Source organism: Homo sapiens, chromosome 1 (assembly GCF_000001405.40).
Source record: "Homo sapiens chromosome 1, GRCh38.p14 Primary Assembly".
Classification (NCBI taxonomy): Eukaryota; Metazoa; Chordata; class Mammalia; order Primates; family Hominidae; genus Homo; species Homo sapiens.
Genome location: NC_000001.11, coordinates 226,743,462 through 226,761,560, shown reverse-complemented (window position 1 = coordinate 226,761,560; position 18,099 = coordinate 226,743,462). Strand labels below are relative to the sequence as shown.

Here is an 18,099-nt window from a genome sequence, read left to right as displayed (position 1 = left end):
CCACTCTCTTAATCATTTTTAAATGCTGTGGTATTCATTTCAGAATATTACTCAGCAAAATGAATCAGTGTAGAAGACGGTGTGTATAGTTCAATTTTTTGCTAAGTGTGTAGATTTATGCAGAGAAAAGAAGACTGGAAGTCTCTATGACAATATTAAGTGTTACCTCTGTGTAGCAGGATTATTGGTTTTCTTCTTGCCTTGCTTTGTTTTTAAGCTTTAAGCAATATATTAAAGTTTTCTGCAACATATTAAAGCAGAATATATTAAATATATTCAAAGAGAATTAAAAGGTAATGTGTGCTCTCTAGATGCTAAAGCTGTTACATATTACATCATTTAATCATCACAACAATCCTACCCCATAAGTACTACCATTCTCTCCATGTTTACAGATGAGGAACTGAGACTTTAAGAGATTAAGTAGGCTAGGCACGGTGGCTCACGCCTGTAATTCCAGCACTTTGGGAGGCCGAGGCGGGTGGATCACCTGAAATCGGGAGTTCGAGGCCAGCCTGACCAACAGGGAGAAACCCCGTCTCTACTAAAAATACAAAACTAGCTAGCTGGGCATGGTGGCGCATGCCTGTAATCCCAGCTACTAGGGAAGCTGAGGCAGGAGAATTGCTTGAACCCGGGAGGTGGAGGTTGCAGTGAGCCGAGATCACACCGTTGCACTCCAGCCTGAGCAACAAGAGTGAAACTTCATCTCAAAAAAAAAAAAGATTGAGTAAATTGCCCAATGTCATAGAGCTATGAAGTAGAACAACTATGAATCAAATGTTGTGGAGACGTGCACTGACCACACTATTACAAATTATAAGCTTTTTCCTAACCTGCCCTTAATCTCCCTGTACAGGGAATTACCATTGCTTTTCTTTTTCTACATCAACATCTCTTATCACTTTCTAACATACTATATAATTTACGTATTTATTATACTTATTCTTTTTTTGTATCCCTGAAATCACTGAGCTTCAAATTATGTTTATTATTTACTACACTCTTCCCCATCTAGAATGTAAACTTCAAGTGGACAGATTTTGAGCTGGGCACAGTGGTATACACCTATAATCTCAGCTACTCGAGAGGCTGATGGGTGAGGATCCCTTGAGCCCGGGAGTTTGAGACCAGCCTGGGCAATATAGTGTCTTTTTAAAAAAACACAGAATTTAAATCTATTTTGTTCACGGATATATTCCTAGATGCTGAGATACAGGCCTGGCACATGCCTGACATTCATTTAAATAAATATTTGTTGAATGAATGCTTCATACCAAAGTTAATGATCTGAACTACTACAATGACCTGCATCCTAGTGTATAATAAATATGAACGCTTTTCAAAGGTGGCCCCAGGATAACCGATGAGCATGGATCAGGGCTGTGGTGACAGATGCCTGTGGGTCCATGAAGATGACGTGGGTTGTGAGAAAGAGCAGGTTCTGGACTCTTCCATCTCTTCCTCCAGCTCCCAGCCCACCCACACTGGTTCTTCTACCTGGCTCCTTTTGCTGCAGGGAGCTGCCCAAGGTGTCCCTGACTATACCCCTGATGATGATAGCAATGAGCAGACGGGGGCTCTGCGGGAGTGGTGCAGCCATAGCAGGATGCTGGGCATTGGGGTTCAAAGAGTTCAAAGGCGTGAAGAGCTGTCCCAGAGAGGTGACCCTGAGAGACATCATTTATTGAGAGTTTACTCCAAGCCAAGCATAGGGCTACATGGGCTTCATATGTGTTGTTTCCGATCCTTACAACAACACATCAAAGTGGGTATTATTGTCTCCGTTGTGCGGATGAGCAATCTAAGGATGAGAGAAGTTAAGTGCTTTGCCCAAAGTTACACAGAAGCCAAAACTACAGCTGAGCCAGGATTTGAAACCAGGCATCCCTGACTTCAAAGTCCTTATGCTTTTATACCATCCAACATTGAGAATATTGCTGTCTCGTAACATCTTAACTTGCCACAATTTAACACATATTAGGAGCTCAATAAATATGTCTTTTAAGAATGAACAGATGGATGGATGGATGGGTGGGTAGACGAGTGGTTTATGTAGCTGTCCCTTGAACTATAGCACTCTTTGTTGACTTTTCATCCATTTCGAGGAATATTTGGCTCTGTATATGTGAAAGAATACAATTTTTCTTTTTCTTCTTTCTTTCTTTTTTTTTTTTTTTTTTTTTGAGATGGAATTTCGCTCTTATTGCCCAGGCTGGAGTGCAATGGTGCAATCTCAGCTCACTGCAATCTCTGCCCCCTGGGTTCAAGCGATTCTCCTGCCTCAGCCTCCGAGGTAGCTGGGATTATAGGCGCCCACCACCACGCCCGGCTAATTTTTTGTATTTTTAGTAGAGATGGGGTTTCACCATGTTGGCCAGGTTGGTCTCGAACTCCAGACCTCAGGTGATCCACCCTCCTCGGCCTCCCAAAGTGCTGATATTACAGGCATGAGCCACCACGCCTGGCCAGAGTACAATTTTTCTAAACAAAGGAACACTTCATCAAACTAAATATTATCAATAACAATTATTTAAGCAACAACATAAGTACTTCATGAAATCAAGCTATTCTTTCAAGTAATCTTTAATTGCTCATTATAGGCATTTAGAAAACATGAATTGATTGTATTTATTGTTTATAATCAAAGGAGAAAAGGGGGACTATTTTCTCTGCTAGCAGTGAAGGAGTCACAGATAGTTATGGTAAAAGGACTTTCATAATCACCTTTCTAATGCCCTCATTTTATAGGTGAGTTGTTTGATCCCAGTGAGAAATGCATATGTTTAGGTGGTTGTTTAATGATTACTGTTTTGTGTTTTTTTTTTTTTTTGAGCCGGAGTCTTGCTCTGTCACCCAGGCTGGAGTGCAGTAGCGCAACCTCTGCTCACTGCAAACTTCACCTCCCGGGTTCAAGCAATTCTGCCTCAGCCTCTGGAGTAGCTGGGACTTACAGGCATGTGACACCACACCCAGCTAATTTTTGTATTTTTGGTAGAGACAGGGTTTCACCATGTTGGCCAGGTTGGTCTTGAGCTCCTGACCTCAAGTGATCCACCTGCCTTGGCCTCCCAAAGTGCTGATATTATAGGTGTGAGCCACCGCAACCCGGCCTATTCCATTTTTTTTTTTGATGCAGGGTTTTGCTATGTTGGCTAGGCTGGTCTCAAACTTCTGAGCTCAAGCAATCCTCCTACCTCAGCCTCCTGAGTAGCTGGGACTATAGGTGCATGCCACCATGCCTGGCTTATTTCATCTTTTACTATAGGCAAAACTTTATTTCTCTATAAATGGTTCTTATTTAACTTACATAAACTTTCCATACCTCAGTTTCATTGCATTTAAAGTGAGAACAGTAATATTACCTACCTCATGGCTTAGCTGTGATAATTAAATGATCAATACATGTAAATGACATATGTAAAGTGTTCAGAACAGTACCCGGCACCTCATAAGCACTTATCTATCGTTATAATTATTATTAATTAATAGCAAGAAATTGGGGGATTGTGTAAATCAACTTACGGCTTAATAATGAAATTGACCTCACTCTTCTTTCTAATCTATGTTTATTTTACTATGTAATGATAACTTTTAAACAGCATTCTGGTTAGAATTACAGTTTTCTTGTTTTGCCCAAACATACACACAATGTGTATGTACAGGCATATCTTGGAGATATCATGGGTTTGTTTCCAGACCACTGCAATAAAATGAGTCACATGAGTATTTTGGCTTCCCAGTGCATATAAAAATTATGTTTACATGGCTGAGTGCAGTGGCTCATGCCTGTAATCCCAGCACTTTGGGAGGCGAGGCAGGCAGATCACCTGGTCAGGAGTTCAAAACCAGCTTGGCCAACATGGTGAAACCCTGTCTGTACTAAAAATACAAAAATTAGCCAGGCGTGGTGGTGCACGCCTGTAATCCCAGCTACTCAGAAGGCTGAGACAGGAGAATCACTTGAACCCAGGAGCCGGAGGTTGCAGTGAGCTGAGATCTCGCCACTGCACTCCAGCCTGGGTGACAGTGAGACTCTGTCTCCAAAAAAAAAAAAAAAGTTATGTTTACACTGTCCTGTAGTCTATAGTTTATTAAGTGTGAAATAGCATTATGTCTAAAACATGTACATACCTTAATTTAAAAATACTTTATTGCTAAAAAGCGCTAACAATCATCTGAGCCTTCAGCAAGTCATAATCTTTTAGCTGGTGGAGGGTTTGCTTCAATGTTGATAGTTGCTGACTGATCAGGATGATTGTTGCTGAAGGTTAGGGTGGCTGTGGCAATTTCTCGAAATAAGACAATAGTGAAGTTTGCTGCATTGATTGACTGTTCCTTTCACAAAAGATATATCTACAGCACGCAATGCTGTTTGATAGCGTTTTACCCACAGTACAAGTTTTTTTTCAAGAATGAAGTCAATCCTCTCAAACCCTGCTGCAACTTTATCAACTAAGTTTAGGTAATATTCTAAAGCCTTTATTGTCATTTCAACAATGTTCACAGCATCTTCACCAGGAATAGATTCCATCTCAAGAAACCACTTTCTTTGCTCATCCATAAGAAGCAACTCCTCATCCATTCAAGTTTTTCGATCTTGAGATAGCAGCAATCCAGGCCCATCTTCAGGCTCCGTTTCTAACTGCAATTCTCTTGTTATTTCTACTACATCTTCAGGCACTTCCTCCACTGAAGTCTTGAACCCCTCAGTTATCCATGAGGGTTGGAATCAACTTCTTCCAAACTTCTCTTTACATTGATATTTTGATTCCTTCCATAAATCATGAATGTCCTTAATGACATTTAGAATAATGAATCCTTTCCAGAATGTTTTCAATCTATTTTGCCAAGATCCATCAGAAAAATCACTACCCATGGCAGCTATTGCCTTACAAAATGTATGTCTTAAATAATAAGACTTAGAAGTCAAAATTACTCCTTGATCCATGGGCTGCAGAATGAATATTGTGTTAGCAGGCATGAAAACAATGTTAATCTCCTCGTTCATCTCCATTAGAGTTCTTGGGTGACCAGGTACATTGTCAATTAGCAGTAATATTTTGAAAGGAATCTTTTTTTCTGAGCAGTAGGTCCCAACAGCGGGCTTAAAATATTCAGTAAACCAGCTGGGCGTGGTGGCTCACGCCTGTAATCCCACCACTTTGGGAGGCCGAGGCAGGGGGATCACGAGGTCAGGAGATTGAGACCATCCTGGCTAACACGGTGAAACCTGGTCTCTACTAAAAATCCAAAAACAAAATTAGCCAGGCATGGTGGCGGGAGCTTGTAGTCCCTGCTACTCGGGAGGCTGAGGTGGAGAATGGCGTGAACCCGGGAAGCAGAACTTGCAGTGAGCCACGATCTCGCCACTGAACTCCAGCCTGGGTGACAGAGCGAGACTCCATCTCAAAAAAAAAAAAAAAAAAAAAAATTTTCAGTAAACCATGTTGTAGACAAATGTGCTGACATCCGGACTTGGTTGTTTCATTGGCAGAGCACAGGCAGTAGATTTAGCATAGTTCTTAAGGGCCCTGGGACTTTTGGAATGGTAAATGAGCACTGGCTTCAACTTAAAGTCACCAGCTGCATTAGCTCCTGCCAAGAGAGTCAGCCTCTCCTTTGAAGCCTTGAAGCCAGGCATTGACTTTGCACCTCTAGCTATGAAAGTCTACTTATTAATTTCTTTCAATAGAGGCTGTTTCATCTACATTGAAAACCTGTTGTTTAGTGTATCCACCTTCATCACTTAGCTGGATCTTCTGGATAACTTGCTGCTGCTTTTTCATCAGCACTTGCTGCTTCTCCTTGCACTTTTATGTTAGGAAGGTGCCTTCTTTCCTTAAAACTCATGAACCAACCTCTTTTAGTGTCTAACTTTTCTTCTGCAGCTTCCTCATCTCTCTCAGGATTCACAGAATTAAAGAGAGTTAGGGGCTTGCTCTGGATTAGGCTTTGGCTTACAAGGATGTTGTGGCTGGTTTGATCTTCTATCCCAGCCACTATACTTTTTCTGTGTCATCAGTAAGACTATTTTGCTTTCTTGTTATTTGTGTGTTCACTCAAGTAGCATTTTAAATTTTCATCAAGAACTTTTCCTGCATAGTCACAATTTGGCTAACCGTTTGGCACAAGAGGCCTAGCTTTTGGCCCATCTCATCTTTTTACCTGCCTTCCTCACTAAGCTTAATCATTTCTAGCTTTTGAGTTAAAGTGAGGGATGTGTGACTCTTCCTTTCACTTGAACACTTAGAGGCCATTGTAGGGTTGTTAATAGGCCTGATTTCAATATTATTGTTTCTCAGGGACTAGAGAGGCCCAAGGAGAGGGAGAGAGATGGGGTATACTGGTTGGTGGAACAGTCAGGACACACGGCACTTATGGATTAAATTTGCTGACTTTTATGGGTGCCGTTCGTGGCACCCCCAAAACAATTACAGTAGGAACATCCAAGATCACTGATCACAGATCACCATCACAGATATAATATTAATGAAAAAGTTTGAAATATTGCAAGAATTATCAAAATGGGACACAGAGACACCAAGTGAGCACATGCTGTTGGAAAAATTGCAAAGATAGACTTGCTCGGCTGGGCGTGGTGGCTCCCGCCCTAACTCTTTTTAATTCTGTGAACGCTGAGAGAGATAAGGAAGCTGCAGAAGAAAAGTCAGACACTAAAAGAGGTTGGTTCGTGAGGTTTAAGAAAGGAAGCCACCTTCCTAACATAAAAGTGCAAGGAGAAGCAGCAAGTGCTAATGAAAAAGCAGCAGGAAGTTATCCAGAAGATCCAGCTGAGATAAGTGATGAAGGTGGATACACTAAACAACAGGTAGCTCACGCCTGTAATCCCAGCATTATGGGAGCCCGAGGTGGGCAGATCACCTGAGGTCAGGAGTTCAAGACCAGCCTGGCTAACATGGTGAAACCCCATCTCTACTAAAAATACAAAAATAAGCCGGGCATGGTGGTATGTGCCTGTAATCCCACTTACTCAGGAGGCTGAGGCAGGAGAATCGCTTGAACCTGGGAGGCGGAGGTTGCAATGAGCCGAGATCACGCCATTGCACTCCAGCCTGGGCAACAGAGTGAGACTCCATCTCAAAAAAAAAAAAAAGACTCGCTTGAAGCAGCGTTGTCACAAACCTTCAATTTGTCAAAAACAATATCTGTGAAGTAGAATAAAAGTAGGTATTCTTGTATATGCATGCACGCATGCATGTGTGTGTATGAGAGAGAGAGAGAGAGAACGAGACAGAGCGAGAGACAGAGAGAGCACAAGAGTATAAAACATCCGATGCATCAAACCTGGTGACTACCTTCAAATGCATCCAGAGCCTGCCTCCTTCTCAGCACCTCTGCTCTCCCGCCTGGCCTCACCCCTGCTCCTCCAGTCTGGCCTCCCACAGGAGCCCCCTGAATGCTTTTCCTGCCTGCTCTCTTGCCCCTCCACCCTCTGTTCTCCACCAGCAGCCAGAGGGCTTTTTCTAAAATGTGGGTCAGGTCATCTTACTTCCGTGTTCAAAACTTTCCAAAAGTGTCTCTTCTTGCCCTGGGAAAAGCCCTGACTATCTCCCTGACCTTATTCTCTCCAATGCTCCCTTCTCTCACTCTGCCTCAGCCACAATGGCTGTTTGCTTCCTTGACCCTGCAAGTGTGCTCCTGCCTCAGGGCCTCTACTCTGGCTGTCCCCTCTGTGGGTAACACTCTTCCCTGGTGGCTGAATGACGTCCTCCCTCCTTCCATCCTTCAGATCTCTGCTCAGACATCATCTTAGGCAGAAAGTCTTCCCTGACCACCTCTACAAAATAACTTAGCACTCCCAAGGCCCTCTTACCCTGCCTGTATTGTTCTCCATGTTCTCCACGGCTCTTATCAACATCACACACACCAGACACACACACACGCACACACACACATATACAGGCTTGTTACTCCCTATCTGCCATTACTGTGAAGCCTCTCTGAGGTCAGGACTTGTGTGTGACTCCCTGCTCTATCCTCACAGTCTAGAATACTGCCTGACATATAACTGCTCAGTAACATTTTTTGAATGAATTTGTCTTCTTCCCTTTTTACCTTTAATCACTTTTTTTTTTTTTTTGAGACAGAGTCTCACTCTGTCACCCTGGCTGGAGTGCACTGGCACAGTCTCAGCTCATTGCAAAACCTCCACCTCTTGGGTTCAAGTGATTCTCCTGCCTCAGCCCCCCAAGTAGCTGGGACTGCAGGTGGCCGCCACGACGCCAGGCTAATTTTTGTATTTTTAGTAGAGACGGGGTTTTGCAATGTTGGCCAGGCTGCTCTTGAACTCCTGACCTCAGGTGATCCGCCCACCTCAGCCTCCCGAAGTGCTGGGATTACAAACATGAGCCACCATGCCCGGTTTTTAATCACTTTTTAATTATTTAAAGAAAAAGATGGCTGGGCACGGTGGCTAACACCTGTAATTCCAGCACTTTGGTAGGCTGAGGCGGGCAGATCACTTGAGGTCAGGAGTTTGAGGCCAGCTCTGCCAACATGGCAAAACCCTGTCTCTATTAAACATACAAAAATTAGCCAGGCATGGTGGCGCATACTTGTAATCCCAGCTACTCGGTAGGCTGACGTAGGAGAATCGCTTGAACCTGGGAGGCGGAGGTTGCAGTGAGCCAAGATTGTGACACTGTACTCCAGCCTGGGCAACAGAACGAGACTCCATCTCAAAAAAAAAAAAAAAGAAAAGAAAAAGAAAGAAAGAAAAAAGAAGAAAAAGATGCTGTGAGAACTCACTTGCTCACTTGCCTGGAAGTCAGCCCTGGGGCTCCAGTGGACCCTCTGGGCTCTTTAGTTGAGCAGCCTCCAAGCCTGAGATGCCTGCTTCCCCAGCCTCCGGGGGTGGGTATGGATACACACCTCAGCTCAGCCAATCAGACACACCCACTGGACATTGACACAGAGAAGCAGGTCCATGGAGAAGCCATCTTTGTGGTAATGGTGCCAGCAGCATGGCCACGTCCAGGTTCCAGGAGTATCAGTGCTGCAGCAGGAGCTGTGTTGACAACACCTTATGTGGCACTGGACAAACCCTCAGGAGTGATTTGACCTGGGGAGCCTCCCCCATTCCTGCCCCATCTCCTAAGCTTGATTTTCTGGTATTCTTGATGATTTTATGAGCTCCCCATATCTTTATTATAACTTTATCTTGTGCTTATAGAAGCAATACACAGTTTCTGTTGCTTGCCATTGAGCACCCTGACCACTGTCGGGCCGTGCTCTGTGATGCTTTATGGCAATAAGCACAGCAGGGTGGGGGCATGCAGGAACCACTGGAAAAGCGGTGGCCTCATAGATGACTTCCTAACCTCCTACAACCTATTATACCTTACCTTAATGTGAGCAAGTTGGCATTCTTTGCATCTCATAATTTGAAGTCATTCATCTTTGTGCTTTTCACCGTGTCTGCTCTCTTTGGAGAAGATGTCTATTTTTGAAGCTGCTGGGCATTTGGGAATCCTGCACACAATGTGAGTTGGTTGGGTTGGCATTGTCACCAATGACGATGTGAGTCGGGTTGGCATTGTCAGCACTTGGAGACACAGTTTAGATGGGAAGCTTTCAACCTCAGCATTCATGCCTCAGGGTTCCTTTGGGAGCTACTCTTCTAGCTGCATTTCCAGGAATTTTAATAGAAATTATGTAACAACAAGCACGGAGGCTGTACTCAGGAGAACAAGTGAAGGAAGAGCATCTCAGCCTATTCCCAGCTTCTCAGCTCCAACTTAGCAGGGAGCACATGGCCTCTAGGACAGAAAAACAAAGCCTCAGCCCAAGATGAGCTCCTCCCCTCACCCCTGCTTCTGTTTAAAACACCTGTTTTAACACCTGTTTAAATCGGGTGTTTTAGTTTAGCACAGAGATGGGCACATAATAAATACCTTTAAAAGCAGTCTAGGCTGGGCACAGTGGCTCATGCCTGTAATACCAGCATTTTGGGAGGCTGAAGTGGGAGTATCACTTGAGTCCAGGAGTTTGAGACCAGCCTGGGCAACATAGGGAGACTCCATCTCTACAAAAAAGTGAAAAAATTATCTGGACATGGTGGTGCATGCCTGTAGTCCCAGCTACTCAGGAGGCTGAGGCGGCAGAATCACTGGAGCCCAGGAGTTCAAGTCTATAGTGAGGCATGATCACACTACTGTACTCCAGACTGGGCCACAGAGCAAGATCCTTTTTTTTTTTTTTTTTTTAAAAAAAAAGCAATCGAGTGCTAAACCATTGGCTGGATGATGGGGGAGAGCTCAGAAGGGGAGGAAACACTCCATTTCAGGGCCCTAGAGAGCTGCTAGAGATGGATGATGTAGCCCTGGAACCCCAGTCCCGGCGGGTCAGCAAGTGTTTATCAGGTGGTCACCAAATCAAAGGAGGGTCCACAACATGGAGATGCAAGGTCCTCTTGCTTTTACCACTGAGCGGGCCTTGATGTGGGATGTGTCTGTGACAGTCTTGGCTGCCCTCTAAGGAGAAGCCTGAGGACCAGGCTCTTCCACAGCCGGTTTTGCCTGTAACTTCGATCCAGGTCCTTCTGCACTCGTGAGTCTTGCTTAGGATGTGGCCTAAGTTACTGGCTAAGTTCCAATGTGGCAGGGCCCATGCTAGGGTCTTTCATATACACCATGTCATTTAATCTTTCAAGATCCCTATAGGGTAAGCAGCAATATCCCCATCTTGCGGAGTAGGAAATTGATGTGAAGAGAGGCTACCTAACTTCCAAGTTCACACAGCTCTAAGTGGCTGAACTGGGATTTAAACTCATGTCCAGGCCAGGTGTAGTGGCTCACACTTGTAATCCCAGCACTCTGGGAGACCGAGGCAGGTGGATCACCTGAGGTCAGGAGTTCAAGACCAGCCTGGCCCACATGGTGAAACCCCATCTCTACCAAAAATACAAAAATTATCCAGGCGTGGTGGCAGGTGCCTGTAGTCCCGGCTACTTGGGAGCCTAAGGCAGGAGAATCACTTGAACCCGGGAGGCGTAAGTTGCAGTGAGCTAAGATTGCGCCACTGCACTCCAGCCTGGGCATTGCAGCGAGACTGTCTCAAAAACAAAAATGAAAACAAACAAAAGACTAACTAAATAAACCTTTGTCCACCATGGACTTCTTAACCAAAGGACCCAATGGATAATAAGAATTAACTGATGAGGCCGGGCACGGTGGCTCACGCCTGTAATCCCAACATTTTGGGAGGCTGAGGAGGGCAGATGACGAGGTCAGGAGATTGAGACCATCCTGGCCAACATGGTGAAACCCCATCTCTAATAAAAATACAAAGAATTAGCCAGGTGTGGTGACACACACCTGTAGTCCCAGCTACGAGGGACCCTGAGGCAGGGGAATCGCTTGAACCCGGGAGGCGGAGGTTGCAGTGAGCCGATATGGCGCCACTGCACTCCAGCCTGGCGACAGAGCAAGACTCCATCTCAAAATAAATAAATAAATAATTAATTAATTAACTGATGAATAGGGAAATTTCAGGTCTTCAACATCTTATTCCAGGACCACAGTAGTGGCATTCTAATTGAGCCCCTTGAGGAAGTATTCCCTTAATCACAGATCAGTCCAGATAACCTCTCTTTGACTGTATAGCCCCTGGAGAATACAGCTACCTTATTTTTGTCTTATTATTCTGAGAGAGTTCAAGACCAGTCTCTATCCTTAGAGACAGACTCTAAGATGGGTTGAAGTATTTCTGCCTGCAGGCATCCACGGCCCCGTGTGTGAGTGGGCTCGGCGATTTGCTTCTAAGCAGCGCAGGTGATAGGATTATAATCTTCTAAGCAATGGAGGTGATTATGTCACATAAGATTGCAACTTCCGTCTTGTCAGCAGACACTCTTTGTTGCCTTCTAAGCTTTCACGCTTCGATGAAGCAAGTAGCCATGTTGAGGAGGTTCACGTGGCAAAAAAGCGAGAGAAGCTTCTGGCCAAAGCCAGCAAGTTGCTGAATCTCACCAACAACACTGTGATCTTGGAAGCAGATTCTTCCCCAATTGAGGATCAGATAAAGCCCAGTCCTGGCCAACACCTTAAGTGTAGTCTGAAGCCGTGGACTGAGCTAAACCACACTGCATATTACAGAAACTGTGAGATAATAAATACATGTTGTTTCAAGCTGCTAAGTTTCTGGTAATTTGGGATAGCAACAGGTAATTAATATGCTCCCTCCGCAGTAGCGAGCTCCTGAAAGGTAGGGCTGTGTTGCAGTGTTTTACCCATCTCTGAGGGCCCGGTGCCCTGGAGCTCTGTAATAGAGACCACTGAGCCTGGTCTCTATTTCCCCTACAATATATCCTCTGTATTGCCTCAGAGATATCTTTTTAAAATGCTAATTTAATTGTGTCACTCTGCCTAAAACTCCTCAGTGGCTGCCTATCATTTTTAATGAAAATCCAAGCTAATTAGCATAGTAATTAAGGAACTTCACCACATGTCCCCAAACTGTTATTCCAGGCTCTTCTCCCCCCCCATTGCCCCCCACTCACCACCACCATATACTCTGGCCACATGGACTCAACACTCCTCAAACCTGCTCTTCCATGGGTCAAGGGACTTGTGATTGCTGTGCCTCTGCCTAGAAGACTCTCTTCTTTTCCTGGTGAACTCCTACTCATCCTTTACAGTCCACCAAAAGATAACCATTTCCTGAAGCCTTCCCATCTCCTCCCCTAGCCCAAGGCCACCCCTACCACTGTTCTCTCTTGGTCATTTGAGTGCTATTATACCATATATCACATAAAAATAAAAATAATTATAACTATTTTAACACTTGGTTCCCCTTCTAGTCTGTGAGTACTTTAAAGATGAGTACAACTCCTCTTCATATCCTTCTCTTCCCTCTCCCCTTGCCTAGAAAACCCAGTCATAGTTTAAAGAGTAAATGAATGGCGTTAATGATACCCAAAGCTGAAATGAGATGCTCATGGGTTAAACAGCAGTGAGGTAGGCTGCGTTAGTGGGTACCAGCAGAAGTTCTGTAGACACCTGAAGCATGGACTGAGTGTGGTTTGCAACCAGTATAGATATAATCTCTTGTTGCTGGTGCTGTCCCTTTGTTGTAAGGGAAAGGAGAAATGGGAGGCATGAGAAACTTCCCTCTTCTACCAAAGACAGCCGTCTATTCTATGTTAGAACATTAGATGGTGACCTTTTCTGAGACTCTGTTCTTACACACCAAGCACGTAAACTTAACACTTTCTTTTCATTCCTAAAGTCTTAAATGATGGATCAAGGTTGACTCAAAGTCCTTCTCTGGCTCTCCTAAACTTCCTAATGGAGGCTATTCAAACACAAGGCCCACTGTATCAAAACCTCAGAGAAAACATTTTGTGAATGTCCTGTAACTCACGCGTTTCCAATGCTCTTTCTCACCAATTATTTTTGTCCTAAGGGTCCGCAGATGTCATACAAATCCAGTTATCCAGAGAAAGGTGCTAAGGCCGCTCCTCACCTTTCACTCTTTATTTTTATTTATTTATTTATTTATTTATTTATTTATTTATTTATTTATTTTTGAGACAGAGTCTTGCTCTGTCACCCAGGCTGGAGTACAGTGGCGTGATCTCGCTCACTGCAAGCTCCGCCTCCCGGGTTCAAGCGATTCTCCTGCCTCAGCCTCCTGAGTATCTGGGATTACAGGCACCTGCCACTACGCCCGGCTAATTTTTGTATTGTTAGTAGAGACGGGGTTTCACCGTGTTAGCCAGGCTGGTCTTGAACTCCTGACCTCAGGTGATCTGCCCGCCTCGGCCTCCCAAAGTGCTGAGATTACAGGTGGGAGCCACTATGCCCGGCCCACGCTTCATTCTTTAGGATTTAAAGCAAAGGCAGCCTTTTCAGTGTGTAGGAGGGGATCCCTGGAGAAGAGGTTTAGTGCAAAGCCATATAGAGTCAGCATCTTAAACTGACAGCAAATGACTTGGTTTCAATTAAAACAAAGTCTTGACACCACATTCCTTTTCTTTTCTTTTCTTTTCTTTTCTTTTGAGATAGGGTCTCACTCTGTCACTCAGGCTGGAGTGCAGTGGTGCAATCATGGCTTTTTGCAGCTTCAACTCCTGGGCTCAAGTGATCCTCCTGCCTCAGCCTCCCAAGTAGCTGAGACTACAGGTGCACGCCATCATGCCTGGCTAATTTTTAAATTTTTGTACAGACAGGGTCTCGCTATGTTGCCTAGGCTGGTCTTGAACTCCTGGCGTCAAGCAAACTTCCTACTTTGGCCTCCCAAAGTGCTAATGCACTGCACCTGGGCTTGACACAACATTTCAACATGAGTGTTTAAGTTAGCTAAGTCACATTTAGGTAGGAAAAGCAGGATCGCATTTTTTCAGTCCATCTCTTATCAGTTTATGGTTGTTTACAGACAATGAAAAAATGTATATATACATTTTTGATGCTGAGTGAATACATATATTTATACCACTGGCTCAGATCATGGCTATTCTATGGATTTTGAGTCTCTGTGCATAACTTATTAATAGATTTGCAACAGAGCCAACCCAATCTGTTGTTTAGATGGCTGGAAAAGTCAGTTTGAAACTAGATAATTGTTTCAATATCCACATGTAAATGGAACATACCTATAAGTATCTTACACTTTGCTGCAGAAATCATCCTAATCAGCTTGGTATTCTCCTTCCAGTCCCACCACAAAGCAGCGTCTGGATTTAGGAGAGGCAGAAAATGCTTCTGTTGCTCGTGCCTGAGTTGGGGACAAAGACCTTTCAATAAATATGATCAAATACCTTCCCTACACCAGACATAGCAGATGCAAATGGGACTAAGTCCTCAAAGAGGAGGAGACAAAAGGTAGCACATTATAACATAGCATGGAGTTAGGGAAGGGTTTAGTAAGCGTTTGATGAATGAATGAATACATGAAGAATAAGCTGTTATAACAGTGAAGTATACCCAGGAAGCCATGAAACTAGGGCTAAAGCTCAGGTGTATAGGGAACGTAAAAATGGACTTTCTCTTTTCTGTATCAATCTAGAATCATAACATTTGCTGTTTTCATTTTGCTCTTCCGGACCATATGCCTCATGAGTAGTGGCAGAGGGTAGCAAGACTGTGTTTGTGTATGTATATGTTTACATAAATAAGTCTGTCTTTTAAAAAATAGTATTTTTAATGACTAAGGAATTAATCATGAATAAATATATGTAAGACAAGGTATTAAGTGGCCAGGGGAGGTGGGGGTTGTTCATAGAAAAGCCATAGCTGCTCTCTGCCTTCAAGGACCTTATGGGAGAGAGCATGAAAAGCTTACTAACAGTGCGAGGCAGAAGGAGGGATGCTGAGTGAAGGGTGCTGATACAGAGTCTCCACATGTGAGGAGGAGGAGGTCATTTCAGGCTGGGCCATCAGAGGAGGATTCCTAAGAGGATGATATTGCAGGATAGATGCGACAGCTGGAACGATTGTGATAATTTAACAAAGTTATATTTGAAAAAAGGGGACACATAGTTATTCCATGAAACATGTGAATGAAAAAATGAACAACTTACCCAGAACGTTTCACCCAGAAGAGAGATTATATGTCAAGCACTGTGCTTGACACTAGGAATGGGGCCCATAATATCCTCATCAAAGGCTATATCCATCCATAGCTATGTTTTTAAAAATATCTTTATTGGCTGAGCACAGTGGCTCATACCTGTAATCCCAGAACTTTGGGAGGCCAAGGCAGGCGGATCACCTGAGGTCAGGAGTTCAAGACCAGCCTGGCCAACATGGTGAAACCCCGTCTCTACTAAAAATACAAAAATTAGCCAGGCATGATGGCGGTTGTCTGTAATCCCAGCTACTTGGGAGGCTGAGGTAGGAGAATCACTTGAACCCGGGAGGCAGAGGTTGCAGTGAGCTGAGATCGCACCATTGCACTCCAGCCTGGGCGACAAGGGCAAGACCATGTCTCAAAAAAAAAAAAAAAAAAAAAATTCTGGCCTGTAATCCCAGCACTTTGGGAGGCCGAGGTGGGCGGATCACGAGGTCAGAAAATCGAGACCATCCTGGCTAACATGGTGAAACCCCATCTCTACCAAAAATAGAAAAAATTAGCCTGGCATGGTGGCGGGCGCCTGTAGTCCCAGCTACTCCGGAGGCTGAGGCAGGAGAATGGCGTGAATCCGGGAGGCGGAGCTTGCAGTGAGCCGAGATGGCGCAATTGTTGTACTCCAGCCTGGGCGACAGAGTGAGACTCCATCTCAAAAAAAAAAAAAAAAATTTTATTATGTTATAAGTGATATACAACAAACTGCACATATTTAATGTTTTACAGTGTTATATGTTTTCATGTATGTATACACCCATAAAATCATCCTTGCAATTAAGACAGTGGACGTATCCATTACTTTCACAATGTCCTACATGTCCCTTCATCTTTCCTACTTCCTGCCCCTCTCCACAGCCTCCATGTTCAGGCAGCCACCCAGTCTTTTTTCTGTTACTATAGATGAGTTTGTGTTTTCTAGAATTTTCCATATTTGGAATCATACAGTAGATATTCTCTTTTGTTTGATTTTTCTCAGGCAGCATAATTCTTTTGAAATTCATCCATGTTGTATGTACATCAATGTCCATTTCTTTTTTATTAATGAATAATATTCCATTGTATACCACAATTTGTTTATCCATTCACCTGATGAACTTTTGAGTTGTTTCCAATTTTTGGCTAATTCTAATAAAGCTGCTATGAATAGTATGCTTTGCATATAGTTTCTCCCAGTCTATGCATTGTCTTTTCATTCTTTTCAGTATCTTTTGAAGAGAAGTGGGGTGTTTTGTTTTCTGTTTTTTTTGTGTGTGGACACAAGGTCTCACTCTGTCACCTAGGCTGGAGTGCAGTGGCATGATCATGGCTCACTGCAGCCTTGGCCTCCCGGGCTTAATTGATCCTCCCACCTCACCCTCCTGAGTAGCTGGGAATACAGGCACGTGCCACCATGCCCAGCTAATTTTTGTATTTTTTTTGAGACAGAGTCTTACTCTGTCACCCAGGCTGGAGTGCAGTGGTGTGATCTCGGCTCACTGCAACCTCTGCCTCCCAGGTTCAAGTGATGCTCCTGCCTCAGCCTCCTGAGAAGCTGGTACTACAGGCGTTCACCACCACGCCCAGCTAATTTTTGTATTTTTAGTAGAGACCGGGTTTCACCATGTTGGCCAGGCTGGTCTCAAAATCCTGACCTCCAGTGATCTGCCTGCCTTGGCCTTCCAAAGTGCTGGGATTACAGGTGTGAGCCACGTTGCCTCCTAAAGTGCTAGGATTACTGGCATCAGCCACCATGCCTGGCCTAATTTTTTTTTTTTTTTTTTTTTTTTGTAGAGATGGGGTTTTGCCATGTTGCCTAGGCTGGTCTCAAACTCCTGAGCTCAAGTGATCTGCCCGCCTCAGCCTCCCCAAAATGCTGGGATTACAGATGTGCACCACTGTGCCTGGCCTTGAAGAGACGTTTTAAATTTTGATGTAGTCCAATTAATTTTGGTATCATATCTAAGAAACAGGAACCCAAGTTCCCAGAGATTTTCTCTTATGTTTCTTATAAAAGTTTCTTGGTCTTAGGCTTTACATTAGGATCTGTGAGCCATTTTGAGTAATTTTTGTACAATATTGATAAGATATTCATTGAATTTCCTCTTTTTAGATATGGATGTTGAATTGTTATGGCACTATTTGTTAAAAGACTTCTCCACTTTTTCTGCACTTGTGTCAAAAATCAATTGTCCATATATACATGGGTCTATTTCTGGACTATTTTGTCCTATTGATCTATTTTTTGAACTTTATGCCAATGCCACACTATCTTGATTACCGTAGCTTTATAATAAGTCTTGACATGAGATAGTGTTAGTCCTCCCACTGCATTCTTTTTCAAAGTTGTTTTGGTCATTCTAGATCTTTTGCATTTCCCTATGAAGTTTAGAAAATAAAAACAAAACAAAATAAACAAAAACAAAAACCTGCTGAAATACTGACTGTGATTGCATTGAATCTACAGATAAATTTGAGGAAGAACTGACATTGTAACAATATTGAGTCCTCCAATTCATGAACATGGTATAT

The 18,099-nt window shown here is 43.7% G+C and overlaps 1 annotated feature.

The window, feature by feature from the left end:
- Window positions 6,762-7,261: an enhancer, noted in NCBI's record as "H3K4me1 hESC enhancer chr1:226942001-226942500 (GRCh37/hg19 assembly coordinates)". NCBI's record gives its function as "activates a minimal SCP1, AML or CMV promoter by ChIP-STARR-seq in primed H9 embryonic stem cells {active_cell/tissue: H9 hESC(primed)}" and the evidence as "EXISTENCE:reporter gene assay evidence [ECO:0000049][PMID:30033119]".